We start from the raw sequence: 20,417 nt of genomic DNA, 5'->3' as shown, positions 1-20,417 counted from the left end.
AGAACTCACTCACTACCTCAAAGATGGAATCAAGTCATTCATGAAGGATTTGCCCCCATGACCCAAACACCTCCCATTAGGCTTCAACTCCAGCACTGGGGATCAAACTCCAACATGAGATTTTCAGGGACACTCATATCCAAGCTATAGAACATAATGTTCCACATTTCAAGATATTCTATGTGATACTGATCATTTCCATGTATCAATCTTGACATATCAACTGTGAAGGGTTTCAGCATCTTTGTTCATAACTCTTAAGTATTCTGTTTCATAAAGTGTGAGACAATACATAGTGTCACTCAGATTAGGGCCAGGTGACTTGGGTTTGGATCTTATCTCTGCCGTTTACTAGCTCACTGAGTTGAGGTAAGTGATTTAACTCTCTGGATCTTAGTTTCTTCATCTGTGGTATAAACGTAAAAATTTCACTTACCTGTTAAGAGTCCATGGTAATTCAATTAATTGATACATTTAAAACACACAGAATAGTATCTGATACAGGGTAAGCACTAGTTAAATATTAAGTGTTCATAGTCATAAAATGCAGAGGCTGTCTTTCTCAATTTCAGACTTTCAATTATGGTTCTAGTTCTCTGGTTATTACCAAATCTCCCAATTGTTATTTATTACCCACATCTGTGCAATTTTGAGATAATCATAAAGTCCAATTCTTGAATGTCAGGAAGCTCCACCAATGTCTTCTACTTACAATTTCCAGAAAAGCCTATGAATAGTTGTTGTGACTATCCTAAAGTAGATTTGGTTTTTAGCTAAAGGTTAAATGACTTTTAGATTAAGTTTTGCCTAGAAGACTCTCCCATTACAATGGATTCTTTCCTTCTTTATGGCATTTTAATTTTTCTGTCTTGTATCTAATGTCCCCCAAGATCTAAACACTGAGATTAAAACTGCCTCGTGGAGACAAAATGTTAGTCTTTAAAGATGAAATAACAATTTGGATCACTGTTTGGCTACTATGGTGCCCACTGAACTCTAAAATTTACCCTGAGAGGTATTATCCCAATTAGCTACAGAGCTAAAATATCTTCTGGTCTGCTGCCAAGCATGTGGTAGTGGGCCTGGATTTCTGTTCATCTGGACAACCAGCATTCAGAAAGCTGAGCTGGATGCAAACCAGAGAAGAGCAAGAACAGGTTGGCTCCACCCAGTTATGTCTGTATTCAACCATCATCATAACTGATTTCAAATACCTTCCAAGGCAATGGCCACAGATTTACTTCTGCCTCCCAAATATTTTGCATGTTTCTCATTTATCCAACTCTACCCTAGAACTCTATAGGGAAAGGTGTTTGGTAAAACATAGCCTCCAACTTGACCAAGTCTCCACAGCAAAATCCAGCCCATGCCAGAAGCTTTCCTGACTCTCTATGTTCAGTTGAATGCTCCTTGCTGTGACCCTCTTCCATTCTGGGCATGTCGAAGTCATTCTGTGAGCACAAATCAGCTCTTCATATTTTGGCTTGGGGATCAGAGGAGCTTCCATAACTAACTACCTATTATCCCAATTAGTTTAAGTTCCACCACCTTGCCCACTATATGGCACACGGTAGGAGTTCAATATACATTTACTGAAATGGAATGAACAGAGACAAGAAAAAATGAAAAGCAGGTTTGGTAAAAGGTAGTTCTGTCGATAAGTATACATCACAGAGGCAGAGCCAAGACTCCAGAAAGCAGCTAAAATCAATAATAGAATTCAGCTCATTTCAGTTATGATAGAAAGGTAAAAATAGAGTCAAAGTAGGATTGACTTATTTGTGCCTGATAAACATGTTTATAAAGAGAAGTGAATGAAGAATAAAGCAATGCCATGGAAAGCAATGGTACCGGAAGAGTCTCTATTGGAAAGATATTGCCCATGGAGTAGTATTAGTGCTTGCCAGAGAACTTGCCACAAATTAATGTACATATAGAGGCCCAGAAATCTTGATATTTGTTTGCTGCTTATCTCTGTCCTCAAAATTCTAGCAAGCACATCAGTAACTCTAAGCCATTTATTCTCTATCTGTCTTCCCACCCTGATCCCCTATGCCCCACACTCTCCCTGCTCTGGTTATCCTTGTCCTTCCTACTTTTCTCCTTTTCAGTTACTTTAACTCCTCATTCTAGAGGAAGATCAATCTGGTTTGGAATACTGACTCCATTGTTCATTCATACTTTCTGAGACTCCGAATTCTCTTCTATAAAATTGATAATATTTTCTATTGCAAAGGCTAACAAATAATTTATTGTGAATATTTATTCAGTGTATCTGTAACTGCCTCTCTGTTTCCTTCTTTCCAAGACTAAAAAGATAAAGATTAGGGGCCATCTGCTGTTGCACCAACATAGTCCCTGAGATATAACCTGACACATGCAATATTCTCCTGAGAGAAATTCTAGTGACTACAAATCCCCTTCCTCTTTCTGTCATATATTTACCCTGACTGGTTTTCCAAGTCTGCGGACTCTCACAATTTCTCAATCTCTCTCTTCTTTTCTTCCTTCCTTCTCTTTTCCTTCTTTTCTTCTCTACCTTCTCTTTTCTTCATGTCCTCCTTTCTTGATCATGTATTAGCTTCCCATTGCTGATCTAACAAATCACCACAAAGTTAGTGGCTTCAGGCAACATATTTCATCTCACGGTTTTGAAGTCAGAAGTCCAAAATCAGTTTCACTGGGCTAAAATTAAGCGTCTGGGTTCCTATGGGAGACTCTAGGGAGGGAGACACCCTTACTTCACCTTTTCAAACTTCTAGGTACGCATGAGCCAGAATTCTTTGATTGTGACCACTTCCTCCATCTTCAAAGCCAGGAGTATAGCATCTTCTCTCCTCTATGACCTTTGTTTATTTCCTTTTATTTTTTCCTTCTGATTTTTCTGCTTCCCTTTTATAAAGACCCTTGTGATTACCTGGAGACCACCTGGATAATCCAGCATAATTTGACACTTCAAGATCCTTACTTTAATCATATTTACAAAATCCTTTCATTAAGTAGCACATTCACAGGTTCCAGGCATGAGTATATGGACATCTTCGGGGGATGTTATTCAGTCCATTATACCCCATTTCTTCAAGTTCATCTTCCCTTTTCCCCCATTTCCTCCATCCTTCCCTGTTCTTGGTCTTCCTTTCTGGTGACCCTCTTACAGGAACACATCAGTCTCTCCTCATATTACGTGCAGTAAAAATAAGTGACTCTCATTTTGTCAAACAAATCGCAAAGCGTAGATGACAAGAGAATGGTCCTGTTTACTCAATCAAATTATAAGGTAGAAAATCTAACCTTTCAAATACAGAAGCTGGATAGATGTTCTGCTAAGTTATCTCTGGAAGTTTGTTTAGGTGATGAGCAACCTCACTGAGAACTGCTCGTCTGCGATATTAAGTTAAACTCTATTTTTCTCTTACCACCATCTAACAATATTTTATACTTTGTCTAACTCGTTTCTTTCAATATTTGAAAGTCTTCCATTATTCTTTCACCCATGTAGTGTTGAGGGAAGAATATAAATTAGAATTCCAAATAACTGGTATCATATTCTAGTCTGACACTCACTAGCTATGTGGCTTTGGGAAAATTATTTTATTTTTTTGAGCCTCAGTCCCCTCACCTAATTAAAGGATAAAATATTACATTTGCTGTCAAAAAAGTAAGATAATTCATATTATACCTGAAAACCATGATATTCCAAGAAAACATGAAACAAGAATATTATGTTTGAGGCTTTCTGACAAGATAGTTGCAAAGGCTAAATTAAATGATGTATGTAAATTATGAGGTAAAATACTGCTACTACTACTGCTAATAATATTAGTAATAATGTACATGTATTGAGTAGGCCCAGTAGAGGGAGAATTGTATCAACATTATATGATATAATATATAACATATTAATATAAATAATTATAATATAGTACAGCATAGTATAGTATAGTTTATTAATTATATGAGCATTGTGATTTCACCAGCCTTGAGAGTGGAATAATGAGGGGACTGACACAACTAAGAAAGAAGTTTTGGTAATGTTTTCTCGTAGGGTGTCATTTCCAAAATGTCCACATATCTACCTATGAGGGACTTTTGTAGAAGCCCTGGTTAAGAATAATTAGCTTCATCTTTGGAGCAAGAGTTACTCTCTCAAAGCCCACATGTATTGTGGCATGTGGGAAAGATAAAGGGTAGATTTTTACCGTGATCACGACCACCACACCCAGCAAAGCTCTACTAGGTTCATCTGCTCAGCCTTGGTAGTAGAGGGGGTGGTAACCGCTTTGCACTGAATAGGAAGATACATATTAGCCCATGGGGCAGCACTCATTTATAGGAAAAAGCACTGTATTATTTAATTTAAAGGGTTTTCACATTATGCTTAGACATTTTTAGTAAATTCTACAAGGATTTTAGGCGAGTGAAGTCAGTGAGGCTAGGTTGCATAGTAAACTATGCTCATCTAAAGATTTAAGAGCTATACACTTTATTACGAGTGTCTTTAATATAGATAGAAAGATGGTTTAAAAATACGGGATCAAGCAGAAAGTGATTCTATCAAGCAATGAATGATAAACTTTGAGGAGGCCTAAAAGTCTAGCTTTAGGTCTCCAGGTTTTTATTTAGAGCACTGTCTTATTTACACTATCATGCGCCAAACAGAGTCCTGCCTTCTGTTTCTGTTTTCATGTATTTCTGCAAATTCTGTCCTAGGTCTGAAACTGGGACTTTTCACCACCCAGTGGTTGTAACCTCCCTCTCCAGCCCACTACCCACTTCATGCTTGCTGGTGAAGTGTGAGACACAATACTCTGTGGTTGTCTTATGAAAAGAGTACAGAAGGAAGAAAGAAAACTAACAGCTATTGTCATTTGCCATAAGTTGGGTACTTTTGGGGTACTTGACACTTTCAGTATGTTATTATCTTTAATCCTTCTCTCCCCCTTATAAAAGCAAGATTATTTTCTATTTTAAAGATGAGGAAATAAGAATCAGAGAAATAATTTACCTAAAGTCACAAAGCTTTTATTTTGCAGAACTGATATTTGAATTCAGATCTTTTTAACATTGGAAGACCATTCTAGTCCCGCTCATCTACTATTCATTCTTTTCTCACTTCTTCCTATTCATTCATCCACCCATCAACATTAAACATTTTCTATACACCAGGCTATGTTCAAGACACTAGAGAAGTATATTAAATAACATTCAGCCTGTGTCCTAGAGAAGCTCAGTGATTAGTGCAGATGGACTGCATATAAATGAATTACTAAATTAGAGTGACTGCTATTTAAAAATATGTGCTTTACAGGTAATGGTTTATTCATTAATCAAGTTAAAGGCTTTATTTATTTATTTTAATGTAAACTTTATTTATCAACATTAGTTCCTTCAAGTTCAAGACACTTTTGTAAGTGATAATACCGGCCATTTAGTCTATCTTTTTTAAAAAAATTGTAAACATTTACTTAGTATATTGGGTCAAGGTTTATATGTGATATACTGAATCCTTGCACATTTATTTAAAGATCAGCATTATTAATCTTATTTTTTAGTTTTTATTTAACTTTTGTTTAAGTTCAGGGGTACAAGTGCAGGTTTGTTACATAGGTAAACTTGTGTTGTGGGGGTTTGTTGTACAGATTATTTCATCACCCAGATATTAAGCCCAGTACCTATTAGTTGTTTTTCCTGATCCTCTCCCTCCTCCCACCCTCTACCCTCTGATAGGCCCCAGTGTGTGTTGTTCCTTTCTATGTGTCCATGTGTTCTCATAATTTAGCTTCCACTTGTAAGTGAGAACATTCCATATCTGGTTTGCTGTGCTGTGTTAATTTGCTAAGGATAACGGCCTCCACCCCCATCCATGCCCCAGCAAAGGACATGATCTCCTTCCTTTTTATGACTGCATAGTATTCCATGGTGTATACGTACCACATTTTCTTTATCCAGTCTATTGTTCATGGGCATTTAGGTTGATTCTATGTCTTTGCTATTGTGAATAGGGCTGCAATGAACATATCCGTGCATGTGTCTGTATATAGACAATTGATATTCCTTTCTGAACATACCCAGTAATGGTATTGCTGGGTCAAATGGTATTTGTCTTTAGGTCTTTGAGGAATTGCCACACTGTCTTCCACAATAGTTTAACTGATTTACATTCCCATCAACAGTGTGTAAGCATTCCTTTTTCTCCACAACCTTGCCAGCCACTGTTATTTTTTGACTTTTTAGTAGTAGCCATCCTGACTGGTGTGAGATGGTATCTCACTGTGGTTTTGATTTGCATTTCTCTAATGATTAGTGATGTTGAGCTTGTTTTCATATGATGAGGGTCCTGGGAATATAACCATATAAATGCAGTCTGTTGTACGTTATTAACTGAGGAAAAATTGATGCTTTTTTAAGACTAGGAAACACAAAATAAGTTAAAAGGAGCCAAATCAGGAATGTAAGTTGGGTGTCTAATGATTTCCCATTGAAATTTTTGCAAAATGTCCCATGTTTGATGAAAGGAATAAGCAGCAGCATTGTTGCGGTGGAGGACTCGCTATGAGGGTGTCCTGGGTCCTTTTCTGCTAAAATTTTGGCTTTCTCAAAACACTCTTATAATAATCAGATAGTATCACTTTTTGGCCCTCTAGAAAGTCAACAAGCAAAATGCCCTGAGCATCTCAAAAAACTGTTGCCCTGACCTTTGCTCTTGACTGGCTTTTGTTTGCTTTGACTAGCCCACTTTCACCTGTTGGTAGCCATTGCTTTGATTGTGATTTGTCTTCAGGATTGTGCTGGTAAAGCTTTGTTTCATCCCTGATTATAAGTCTTTGAAAAAAATGCTTCTGTATCTTGATTTTTCACATGTTTAAAACTTCCACTGAAAGCTCTGCTTTTGTCTGCAGCTGATCTGAGTGAAACCATTTTGGCACCCATTGTTCAACTTTAATTTTTCAGTCGGAACTGTGTAACCTGAACCAACTGAGATGTGTATGGTGTTGGCTATTGTTTGTGCTGTTAAGCATCCATCTTCTTCAATTAGGGCATGAATAAGATGGCCTTTTTCCATGCAAATTAACGTGGACAGTCTGCAGCTGTGGGCTTTATTTTCAATATTGTCTTGTCCCTTCTTACAACAAGTTATCCATTTGTAAACTGCTGATTTCTTTGGGACGTTGTTCTCCTAAAGATTTTATAAAGCGTGAATAATTTCACCTTTCTTCCAGCAAAGTTTCACCATAAATTTGATTTTTGTTCTAGCTTTAATTTTAGCAGAATTTATGTTGCTGAGATGGGGGCTTCTTTTGAACTGATATCTCGGCCTTATAAAACATATATGACATATAAAGTGGAATCCTTACTTTAAATTATAACATACAGCTCCTTTCTCCAAAAATCTCCAACTCATTATGGAAACAGCTCTGACTTGTAAAATAAAAATAAAAAAAAATTAGCTTTCACATTTGACCCTGAAAATAAAAAGTCCAGATGTTACTTATTTTATTATCTCTATCAAAACAATTTGAAGTTTTTTTCATTTGTATTATTTCCCTAGCATTATTTTAAATCAGCTTAGTGAAACAATCGGTCACTCAGCAGATAACTCCATATTCTTTCTATTTACAAAGGTTTCAATTCATTTTAATATTTATGTATGAATTTTATTTATATACTTCCTTATAAAATTAGATACAATAAAAACGTATTCGCAATGAAAGTAAATATCTCACTTTATCTTATCCTTTCAATTGTCCACTCTCTTCTCTAAAAGTCATTAGTGTTGAAGTTTGATATCAATTATTCTGTAAACTTTGTATACATTGCATATAAATGTAACTTTACAAGTTATAATTTAATTTTTACAGAAATAGGGCCATTCTGTTTATGTTATTTGGCAATATTATCATTTCACTTAATTCTGTAAGTTAAGAGATTTTTTTCCTAAGCCAATACAATTAGATTTCACTGGGTTAAACTAAAGTCATGTTGCTTTATTGATGCATATTTAGTATTGCTCTTATTTATAGTTACTATAATTATATGATGAACATCCTTATGATTCCTTTCTCTAGTATAGTGAGCACTTTAAGACACTGGCCCATCAAGCATCTATTTTTTAGTAATGGAATCTAAATCACCTTTGTTAGAATCTCCTCCATCGCCCTGCTAAGTAATTCAGGGAAGATCCTACCCAGTTAGGGAGGAGCATGAGCTTTAGGCTGATGCCACTTTAAGTATTCTATACCACAGACACATAGTTTGGTTTGCAGATGGGCACATGACACATCTGGCCCATAAGCACCATGGCTTTCTCTTAATTTGGAAGAAAGAGAAACAATATTTTCTGCTGACTGTAAGCTTGTTACAATACAATGTTGAAAGCACTAAAATCTTTCTGCCACTACCATGAATGAACCTGTCTGGGAATGGAGCCAAAATAGTGGAAGCAGAGCCAAGAAGCAGAAAAAGAAGTAAGCCCTGTTGACCTATTGTTAATCCCTGAAACAAGATGTTTCTGATGCCAACAAGAACTAGCTCTGGACTTTACAATGATGCGAGCCAGTAAATTTCCTTTTGCTGCCTAAGCCACTTTGTTAGCTTTTCTCTCAATCACAACCAAAAGATATCTTACTAATGCTGATAGGAATATAATTGCCAGGCCATTTAAAGGTATGTGCGATTAAAATTATTATATATATTGGCAAATTGCGCTTCCATCAATGCTACCAATTTAAACAATCACAAACCTCCAACCATCAAGGTGTCTTAACTGTGCATACATTTCTCCTATTTTTCTATTAGGTCATTTATGATTTTTCTGATTATCTTCATATATCCTATAAATTTTCCCTTCATTATATTAGAGTGCATACATTTTTTTACAAACCACCCTTTTTCTTGAAACATTATTTATAACTAGTCATACCAAGGTTTTAAGTCAAATTTTAAATTGTTAAAATCTAGGGACATCTGCTAATTATTTCTTTGTAATTGACAGATTAATTTTTTGTCTTCTCAATGGCGTATAAACATTCTTAAATTTTTATTTTTCCTATTTTTAAAATTTTATTTTACTATTTTCTTTTAAAACATTTAGAATTTATTCAAGTGTATATTGTGAGGTATTGTGATGAATAGTTAATTGTGCTAAAGCTATTTATTAAAGAGTCTATTCTTTTCCAGTAATTCAAAAGGCTATTTTTATTATTTGTTATGTTCTTCTTTATATTTTTATTTATTCTAAGTCTGTTGCTTGGCTTTATTCTGTTTTGCTTATTTTTTTTTTTTACTTTTTATTTTTGTTTTTTGGACTCAGGTGGACACAATTTTATTAATCATATTTCTTGTTTATGGTATACTGTCACCATTGGTTTATGAATGAATTGTCATTTTTTTTCACAGTTTAATAAATACCTGCAAATCCGTCACTGCAAACTAAAGTTAGGACCTTGACAATGACCTACATATAACAACATCCCTTCTTCCTATGCCATTGTTACCAGTCCATCATTTCCTGTTTTCTTTATAAATACTATATATCCCTTGTAAATTCTATGCGTCTTCCCAAAATTAAATATTTTATATTTCATTTGTTAACCTTAATACAATGGCATTTGAGATTTCCTTAAGGTTTTTAGGGTCTTGAATAAATTTTTTGTGTGGAGCACCTGTCTGTAAATAATTTGAGTTATCCCAAATAAGGATGCTAGAACCGTAATGGCTTTCTAATTTAATGTGATCCCATGAATGAAATATCTTTCTGGTCTTCAGGAACAATCTGCTTGACAGGCTACCCTCCTGGAACCACTGGGTTCTTGGAAGAACACACAGGCATGAGTCCAGAGTTCCTTGGAGCATTTGGTTAACTCTACCACAGAGTAGAGGATTAAAGAGAGCCCCAAAGAAAAGAAATGACAACGTGAGTCCAAAGGTTCTGGTCTGGGATCAGAGAGCTCCACCCGGCATTGTAGGCCAATGCTGATTCCAGGCATACTGGTACCAAAAGAGAGATATAGACCAATGGAACAGAACAGGACCCTCAGAAATAATATGACACACCTACAACCATCTGATCTTTGACAAACCTGACAAAAACAAGAAATGGGGAAAGGATTCCCTGTTTAATAAATGGTGCTGGGAAAACTGGCTAGCCATATGTAGAAAGCTGAAACTGGATCCCTTCCTTACACCGTATACAAAAAATAATTCAAGGTGGATTAAAGACTTAAATGTTAAACCTAAAACCATAAAAACCCTAGAAGAAAACCTAGGCAATAGCATTCAGGACATAGGCATGGACAAGGACTTCATGTCTAAAACACCAAAAGCAGTGGCAACAAAAGCCAAAATTGACAAATGGGATCTAATTAAACTAAAGAGCTTCTGCACAGCAAAAGAAACCACCATCAGAGTGAACAGGCAACCTACAGAATGGGAGAAAATTTTTGCAATCTACTCATCTGAAAAAGGCTAATATCCAGAATCTACAAAGAACTCAAACAAACTTACAAGAAAAAAACAAACAACCCCATCAAAAAGTAGGTGAAGGATATGAACAGACACTTCTCAAAAGAAGACATTTATGCAGCCAAAAGACACATGAAAAAATTCTCATCATCACTGGCCATCAGAGAAATGCAAATCAAAACCACAATGAGATACCATCTCACACCAGTTAGAATGGTGACCATTAAAAAGTCAGGAAACAACAGGTGCTAGAGAGGATGTGGAGAAATAGGAACACTTTTACACTGTTGGTGGGACTGTAAACTAGTTCAATGATTGTGGAAGACAGTGTGGCGATTCCTCAGGGATCTAGAACTAGAAATACCATTTGACCCAGCCATCCCATTACTGGGTATATATCCAAAGGATTATAAATCATGCTGCTATAAAGACACATGCACACAAATGTTCACTGCGGCACTATTCACAATAGCAAAGACTTGGAACCAACCCAAATGTCCATCAGTGATAGACTGGATTAAGAAAATGTGGCATATATGCATCACAGAATACTATGCAGCCATAAAAAATGATGAGTTCCTGTCCTTTGTAGGGACATGGATGAAGCTGGAAACCATCATTCTCAGCAAACTATCACAAGGACAAAAAACCAAACACCACATGTTCTCACTCATAGGTGGGAATTGAACAATGAGAACACTTGGACACGGGAAGGGGAACATTACACAATGGGGCCTGTCGTGGGGTGGGGGGAGCGGGGAGGGATAGCATTAGGAGATATACCTAATGTAAATGATGAGTTAATGGGTGCAGCACACCAACATGGCACATGTATACATATGTAACAAACCTGCACATTGTGCACATGTACTCTAGAACTTAAAGTATAATTTTTAAAAAAAAGAAAATTTTAAAGAAGTCACCTGCCTCAATCAAGTACAGATAAGCCTTGATGATCTAGGTTTCATGACATACTTTATTTCATTTACAAGTACTGGTTCACATTCTGCGCATGTATCCCAGAACTTAAAGTAAAATTAAAATTAAAAAGAAGAAGAAGGAGGAGGAGAAGAAGAAGAAGCAGTGGTTCTCAAGCTACGCTCTAGTGGGACCAAGGCACCTTGATGATAAATTTGAATTATTTCTGCTATTCTCAGGTTTGATGGGAAATGATAAGAAATTTTTTTTAATAATACATTTATCTAAAACTGTTGGTGTTTGTTATGTTCACATACTAAAATCTATATAAAATATTGTATTGAGATAAGTAGGGTTGGTTGCTGCAATAAGGAACAGATTTTTGTGGCTTACGTTAATAAATATTTATCTTTTTCTCATGTCACAATCCAATGTGCGTTAGCTGGGATTGTGCTCCACACAGTTACTCAGAGACTCAGAATCTTTCCATCTTGTGTTGCCTCCATCTTTAAAAAAAGATTCCTATAGGACAGAGAGTTTGTAAGAGTGTATGAAGAGAGTATATGAGAATCACTCAAATGGTTTTATGTGCCAGTCATGGAAGTGGACCACACTGCTTCCACTCAATTACATTGGTCAGAATGCAGTTCATTGCTCCAAATTTATCTGTAAAGATCAGGACGTATAACCCTCCCATATGTCCAGGAGGAAAATGATATAAATTTGGAGAATTTGTAGCACCGTCTCTACCACAGATGATCCCTTACCACAACATGTACCTTTAATTGTTTTAAGTTTGAAATTAGTAAATTGTGGTGTGTTCCAAAATTATTGTGACTTTTAAGAAATCCATTAGTTTAAAAAAGTTTAAGGAACACCGAACTAAATGTTGGAAAGTTCTGTGAGTGTTGTACCCCCAAGATTACATGTTGCCGTATAGGGAGCATAAAAAGATACACAAACAAATACAAAGAGAGAGCTTTTTAAAAAATACCAAGGCTATCCTAATCAACTGAGAGAACTGTCAGAATTATTTATGTTTATTTAAAGGATTAATATAAAAATGATACAAAAATATTTTACAATTGGAAGGCATAGGATATTTTTATGTAGGAAAAGACTAAATTCTAACCCTTTCATTCTGATTTGTATGCCATAGATTAGGTGTTTATTCTATAAGACAGCTTTACGTAATTTCTTTTATCTTATCATCCTTAAAAATAATTATGAAACATTATTTGCAAAGTATATTTTAGATTTTATACTTCACTGTATTTTTTCTATTCTCCAACCTAACTTTAATAATAGAATGATCAACTTGAAACAATGATTTAGATTAAATAAAACTTCCAATATAATGACCAAAAAATGTCTTTTATTCCCCTGCAACTGTCCATAATTCTTACATCGCCACTGTTCTGAGTTGATATACAACCTCAGTAAGCCAATAGAGGTCCACAGGGGTCTGGTTGAAATGGAAGAGCAAGAGATTATTGAAGAAAAGGAGATCACCATGGAAACTATGTTTTTTCCTGGGTATGATATCTGAAGACTCTATGGAAGCATTTATATACACTGAACAAATCATGAAAAGTTTGAAAAGCATTGACTTTAATTCTTAAGAAATCTGACTGCTCAGAGAAATGCAGGAAAATAAATTTCCTTAGCTTACTAATAAACAAATTTTCTTAGAAAAAAATGAGGGAAACTTTCATCACAACTTCAATAGGCTCATGTATTAAGGAATCATAAATAGGCCAGGCGCGGTGGCTCATGCCTGTAATCCCAGCACTTTGGGAGGCCGAGGCACGTGGATCACGACGTCAGGAGATCGAGACCATCCTGGCTAACACAGTGAAACCCGATCTCTACTAAAAAATACAAAAAATTAGCCAGGCATGGTGGTGGGCACCTGTAGTCCCAGCTACTCGGGAGGCTGAGGCAGGAGAATGGCATGAACCTGGGAGGCAGAGCTTGCAATGAGCCAAGATCACACCACTGCACTCCAGCCTGGGCCACAGAGCCAGACTCCATCTCAAAAAAGAAAAAGGAATCATAAATATTTCCCCAAATGCATGAAATGTCTTCGGAATAAAATTTACCCTATAGCTTTCTGCACTGTCTGGTTTTTACATAATTAAGAAATGTTTTCTTAAAGATGTTTTATTTTAAACATTTTTATTAATTCTGGTGTTTTTCATGGTAGAAAAATGTATTTTTATGAACAGAGCTCCAATTCTAAATTTTGGTTTCTAGGAGGAAAACATTTCATTTATCATGTCTTTACTTGTGGTTAAAAGGAAACATAAATGACTTCCTACTAGATATTTAGTTCTCTCAAAATCCACATTCTAAATCTTTATGTGTTAAGAGTGGATCATTTTCCTATTCACTACCAAATGTTAAGTTTGTTCTAAGGAAAAGAGAATGTAAGAGAACATGAGAAGAGAAATAAAAAGATCTATACACTTTTGGAGAGTCTCATAGTCTTCATTCTTTGTGTGCACAATTAACAAAATAGGCTCAAATATTAATAGAATACCACATTTCTAGTTAAATTGTATAGAATATTAGCTAATTTATCTGATATCACATCACTAGAAATTCTTCATTTACCAGCTTTGGCAGGCAGAATGGTGGTCTAAAGATGTCCATGCCCTACTCATAGAACCTATGAATATATCACCTTATATGGCAAAAAAACCAAAACAAAACAAAAACCTTTGCAGGTGTGATTGATTAAGGTTGAGGACTTGGAGATAGGATATTTAGCCTAGATCATCCAGGTGGGCCCAATCTAACAAATAAACCTTTAGATAGATGCAATAGAAGAACGAGACCTGTCATTGCTGGCTATGAAGATAGAGGAGAGGGACATGAATCCCAGATGGCCTCTAGAAACTGGAAAGACCCTCAGCTGATGGTCAGTAGCTGAATAATCAGAATTAAATCTTCCTTTAGCCCCTCCAGAAAAACATATAGCCTTGCCAACACCTTGATTATGAGCTGGTGAAACATGTCAGATTTCTGGCCTACAAAACTGTAAGAGAAAGTTGTGTAATTTAAAACTATTAAGTTTATGGTGATTTGTCATAGTGGCAACAGAAAATGAATACATCAGAATTTCTATCAAATTCAAGACTTTTCTGAACTGAAGATTAGAATTTTGGTTTTCTCTTTAGCCCAATCTTCCACTACTGCCATATCACAAACATCTGCTCCAGTTAAGCTTTCACTTCCCAGAACATAGTATTTTTTTCCACTGCTTCTACCTTGTATTTGTCAGCTTGGGCTGTCCCATAACAAAGTACCATAGACTGTGTAGCCTAAACAATAGACATTTCTCACAGTTCTAGGGACTGGGAACCTCAAGACCAAGGCGCCAGCACATTTAGTTCCTTTTGAAGACCTTCCTCCTGGCTTTCAGATAGCCACCTTCTCACTGTGTTCTCCCATGGTGGAGAAACAGAGAGCTCTTACCTCTTCCTATTCTCATAAAAATACTAATCTTAACATGGAGGCCTCACCCTCATGAACTCATCTAAACCTAATTGCCTCCCAAAGGCTCCACCTCTACATACCATAATATTAGGAGTTAGGGCTGAAATTTGGAGGATACAAACATTCTGTCTATAACTCACTCATTGGCCCATGTTCTTTCTGCCTTGAATGAAATGCCACGTGCTTTGTAGGGACTTCATAAACCTTTCCAGACGTCGCTGACCATATCCTCTCTTTTAACCCAAATAGACATTCTACTCCATCTGTGATATCACAACTATAACACATAATTTATAATAGGATTCAGACTTTAAAATTTTCCCTAGCAATTATCACATATATTTTTGTTAGGAGGCATCCCATTTTGTAGTGAAATATGTCTTGCTTAGTCATATGCAAGATAGATGTTAAGCCACCAGGATCTGGGTTTCAGCTAGTGTCAAGATTTTAGACAAAAGAAAAGGCTTATTTTCATAATGTAGGAAACAATTCTGAGACACCCATGGGAATTTGAAAAGAGGTGAGAAAAGATGAGGGCAGGAGAAGGAGAGGGAAGCAAAGCAAGATTGTGTTCTGTGTTGTTGTATACTAGTTCTCTTAGCCCTCAGTGGTTACTGTCTCGATATGTAAACCATCGTATTTCTAGCGTCATTCAGTTTTAATCCTGTGATGAAGATATAAATGATACTTAATGCAGAGATGAGAAAATAACATTTTATTGTTATGTTGAAACTTACTATTAAAACTTGAATCTGTTGCCTAGCATTTGAACCGTGGTGTGCCATTAATTTCTCAATTCGGGGCCTTTTACTAGATCAGTATCGAGAAAGATACATTATGGCCAGAAACAAACACCATTTTCTTAAGAATATTTTGCTCACAATATTTTCAAACAGAATGTCTTTGCAGCAAGAAATGTGACTTTGATAATGTTTTCAACAGTCAGTTGTGAAGCGGGAAGAACAATGAAATGACTAGAAGGTTGATGGGGTTCAGGACTTACGTACTACTTACTACTCCAAAATCTTGACAGCTTGGCATTTGGAGAAGCAGCCGAAGCAGAAAGATCCTTTTCACCTTTCCTCTGACCTTCTCCCATAGAGTAGGTCATACAACCTCAGAATAATTTTCTGACCTTTCCCTGAAGTAGGTCATAAAACCTTCATGTGACAGGTGCTCTCTCTATACCCAGAGGAAAGGAATATCCTTGTCTCTAAAGACACACGGACACAGAGAAGAAGCTGAACAAAAAGACCCTACTAAGTTCTCTCCAGTTTATTACCATTCCATTGTACATTTTTATCCAATTATAATTCTCCATGACTGTGCACTTTTTCATCAAACTTAGCATAAAAAATATAGTTTAACTGTTTCTTTAGGTCTTCATTTCCTTATGAAGTTTCCTGTCTCATCTAAGACTTATTAAATAAATTTGTATGTTTTTCTCCTGTTAATCTGTTTTTGTTAGTTTGATTTTCAGACCCAGCTAGAGACCCTAAAAGTGTCTAGGAAAACCTCTTCTCCCCTACAAGGGTACTTCAGTGAATTTCAGAGCTCAGCCAACCACTTCCAGGTAGCAGAGTTCCCAGAAAGACCCAGGCTCTCTGCAAAGCTACACATGGCAGGGTTTAATCTTAGGATCAAAGAGATACAACAACTTCAACCTCATATGAGTTTTTAAAATTCAGTAAGTGGAAACTACCCTCCCTCCCCAGCTATATACTATCTGTTTTTCTTACCTTTTCTTTTAATGCCGTTAGGTTCAACTTGTGTGCATACAGGGGTAATAGCTGGGGAAAAAGTAGAATTAGCATGTTTCCCAGATGATTCAGACCAAACAAACAGCAATGAAAACAGTTTATCTTTCAACATTCCCACTCGTTTAGGCATGAAATGCCATTCTAAATACTGCCTTTAAGTAGTCTAAAGGCTCTGAAAATGGTGGGGAAAAAATAACTTGTGACTCATTTTTATTTTAAGTGGTATGACTTCTATGATGTGGAAATCAGTTCAATCCATTTTTATTAACTGCCATGTCACATGCTGAAGATACTGAAGTGAACCAGACACAGCTTCTGTTTTTAAGGGGTCTACAAGTTAGTTGGGGAAGGGGTCAGGGAAGAAAGGCTATCAAATAAATGTCCTTTGGGGTAACAAATGCTAAAGTCAGGCTCAGTAAGAGGTGTCTAATTATTATACTCATTTGAAGGAGGTGTAGGTAACTCCTGTAAAAGACTGTCTATACTTTTTTTCAAAGGGAAGGCCAAGGGACAGCATTCTGTGTGAATGCCTCTCTCCCTGAGGGGAACGGGGGACCGCCCCCAGGCTTGAAGCTAATTGGCATAACCATGAAATGCAGGCTGTCATAGCTGAATCAGTCTTTGTGTGTATGTTGGAATTTTACAATACTGATAAATTGCCACACTGGTCAATGAAAAGGACATGCACTTTGATTTTCCATTCAATGGGATCTGCTAAGTAAGTGAGTTAAAGAAAGGTGTAGCACTAAGCTAAAATTCCTCAGATTAAATATAAAGAACTTCTAACACTTTGATGGGTCTCAGACTGAGGCATTCTTTGTATGTATACTGGTGTGTGTGTATGTGTGTGTGTGTGTGTGTGTGTGTGTGTGTGGCAGTGTTGTGGGATTGGATCCCCCCAAAAGCTAATTCTTCAATCAGTCTTGGGTGTATATACTTGGGAAGAAAAGACGAAGAAGGTATAGATATTGTGCCGAAAATATATTGAGTAGCAACATAAAGACTAAAAAACTGAATAAAACCATGAGCCAACACAAGAGAGTAGTTCCCAAAAGGGTTTTGTGTACCCATCACCACCTCTCAAAACATAAGAGTGCATGCGCGTGCACACACACACACACGCTCTCTGCTTTACAAGGAAAATGATTTTGATTATTTGTGGAGGTGGGAAGTATTACAAAAAGCAACACTGTCAGTTATAGGGGAATGAGGGAGTGAAAGATTAGTTTTCAAATTGTAACCTCTAAGGTTATGAAGTGTACATATGTGTGTATGTTAAAAGGAGAAGAAGAGAGAAGAACGACCTTTTTCATTTCTAGAAAAAAATGATGTTCCTGGGGAAGAGGCTGCAGAAGAACTGATATTATTTTGTTGAATCAATGTTTTGGTACTTTAGTAATGGTTATTTTATGAAGACTTGGTACCTCTACAGACAAAACAACTAAACTGATAGGTTGAGTGAGTCTTTGTGCTAACTTTTCAAGATTTTAATGTAGAGTGTGTATGTATGTGGACACGTGTGAGAGAGTATGTGTACTTATAGTGAAGTGCCCCATAAGGTATAACTTTTATTATTATTATTATTAGGCTAACAGAACAGCCATTTAAAAGCTGCTTGCTAATTTTGTTGCTGATTAAAATATGATCAAGCCTCCTTGAACCAGAATACAACTAGTTTGAGCTCATCATAATGATCCCTCAATTATAAAAGTCAAAGAAAATACCTATATATTGTTCAAGAAGGCAAGAAACAAGATCATTGTTTTGCTCTGTGGGAGCCCAAGGTTAAATTTTGTTTGCAAGTCAAGTTCTATGACACTTACCTATTACTTGACTCATTAATTTTATTCAGGGAAGTTTCTGGATGAAAAGATGGCAAAACAATGATTATTTCCCTTTGAAGATTAAAGTTATTAAACACTATGTCCAGCTGGCAGAAAAGGACAACACCCAAAGATATTCACAGGAAGGAGGGGTGAGATATCTAGGCTCAACATCAAAACCTGTATTATTTTAGGGAGGTACAGAGGGTGTGACTGATGCTGAAACTGTCTCTCTGATGCTGCCACACTGACACTATTGGCATGACCTGAGGGAACAGTTCTGTCTGTGTGACAAGATACCCACCAAAAGCTCTAATCTCTTTTTATACAGAGTACTTGTGAATGGAGCAGTCAGCGCTGAGCAAACAGATCTCAGCTGCCAATTCTATATATGGCGACCACATAACTCATAGCCCAGATGAAGAGCAGTTTAAAAGTAGAAGGATGAGGGAAGGTGACTATTAATAATGAAACCAGAAAAAGAGGCATAAACTAGCATTGTCCTGGGCAAACTTGGGTACAAACCCCAAGAAACTTGGGTCAGATGAGTGGGGTATTGTGCCCTTACTGCTATAGCACTTCCTGTGGTGCAAAGTTTTGTACCAATGTACCAACTTCTGATTTCAGAAACAACGCTCTATGGTGGCGAAAGTCATGTTTATCAGGGCCCTTTGGTTTGCTGGGAGGAATCCATAGTACTGTTTCAACTGAAGTAAGTCCTGTGAGAATCTGGAACTTATTACTAAGCCTGGGGAGGGAAAAATATGTGTCTTGTAACAAGCAGGCTATGGACAAAAGGCCATTTTTATTAGCATAAAATGGGACCTAAACACTAAAAATGTGGCCACATTGGGGTTGGCATTAATATGTGACTATGTGAATAAAGAATTAATAATTACATGTTATAATGCAATAAATTAATAACTAATTTTCTCCCTCATGTATGTACTGATTTTCCGGTAGTTAATTTGTTAATTAAGTCTCAGCTTTTTAAAATTTTCAGGTGTGGACCTGATGGGCTGGTGCTTTTGGAAAGCTTTACTGTTTATCTGACAGCTCAGAGAGATAAGGAACTTCAAAGCTGTATGAACACAAAATGTTATTATGTATTGGGCATTACTAGAATACAGAAGAAAGACATCTTTAAATTTGGTGTTTACTGGGTCTTTTTACTGGCTGGATTTTGTTGTGGAATATACAGGCATGTGAACATATTTTGTTACTTCCAATGAGAGCGAAATAGAATAAGTTAAAAATAAAATCATAAATTATCAAACAGATTATTTTGAGACATCACTTAATTAGGCTTAAGCTTAATTTGCTCAAAGAAAGACAGAATGTCAACTTCCAGTATTTTAGGAGGAGGAACAATATGCTTTCATTCTTACTATAAATCATTAGACCTGGAAGGTGGGGGAAAGGGTTAAAGACAGACTGCAAGCCAGCATGAAAGGATATGCTTAATGTCCAAAGCTGTGAGTTACTAAGAAACTTCTGGCAGAGGAAACTGGATGCTGGCTGTCCTTTGGAACATCCTCTACCTGTTTCTCTGAAGAGCTTGCTAATAGATGATGATTTATTTCCCTGTATGGTAAAAGAATTTTCTGAAAGCTGCAAATCAGGGATGAGGTAGGAAGGTAATGGAGCAAAGTTAGATTAGAACTAGAGGTAGGTGTAAATGAGAATTAATTGGCTACCCTTTTAAAAAATGTAGAAATAATATGGCACAACTAGGGAATGGTTTAATAGAATAAAACTCTACTAGTAGACTTTCATTGTATACCTTGATGTTTGGAAAGTTATTTAATTGGTAATTGTTGGCCTGTAGTTAAGAATTTCAAGGTTTGTATTCTCTTAGCTCTTTTATTCTGCCCCATATTATATTCCTTACAGGAAGGTCTATAGACATGTTTGGCCCAGGACACTGACATTATTTATTGAGGGTCGGTGAAAG

At 36.4% G+C, this 20,417-nt stretch overlaps 1 protein-coding gene and 1 long non-coding RNA gene across 4 annotated transcripts in view; one reads left to right on the top strand and one right to left on the bottom strand.

The window, feature by feature from the left end:
* The window catches only part of LOC107984361 (uncharacterized), a 552,293-nt gene that overhangs the window by 43,817 nt on the left and 488,059 nt on the right, over nt 1–20,417 (bottom strand). The window contains exon 5 of one of the 2 annotated variants that reach the window (XR_002957260.2): nt 16,620–16,670. The exons of the other annotated variant lie outside the window; for it this stretch is intronic. This is a non-coding gene — a long non-coding RNA (uncharacterized LOC107984361). The remainder of the gene's footprint in view (nt 1–16,619; nt 16,671–20,417) is intronic. 2 annotated transcript variants of the gene reach the window in all.
* Nucleotides 1–20,417, top strand: part of RAB38 (RAB38, member RAS oncogene family) — a 371,729-nt gene that overhangs the window by 307,215 nt on the left and 44,097 nt on the right. The window lies entirely within an intron of this gene.

Source organism: Homo sapiens, chromosome 11 (assembly GCF_000001405.40).
Source record: "Homo sapiens chromosome 11, GRCh38.p14 Primary Assembly".
NCBI lineage: Eukaryota > Metazoa > Chordata > Mammalia > Primates > Hominidae > Homo > Homo sapiens.
The sequence above is the reverse complement of the archived record's forward strand: the minus strand, read 5'-3'. Positions and strand labels throughout refer to the sequence as shown.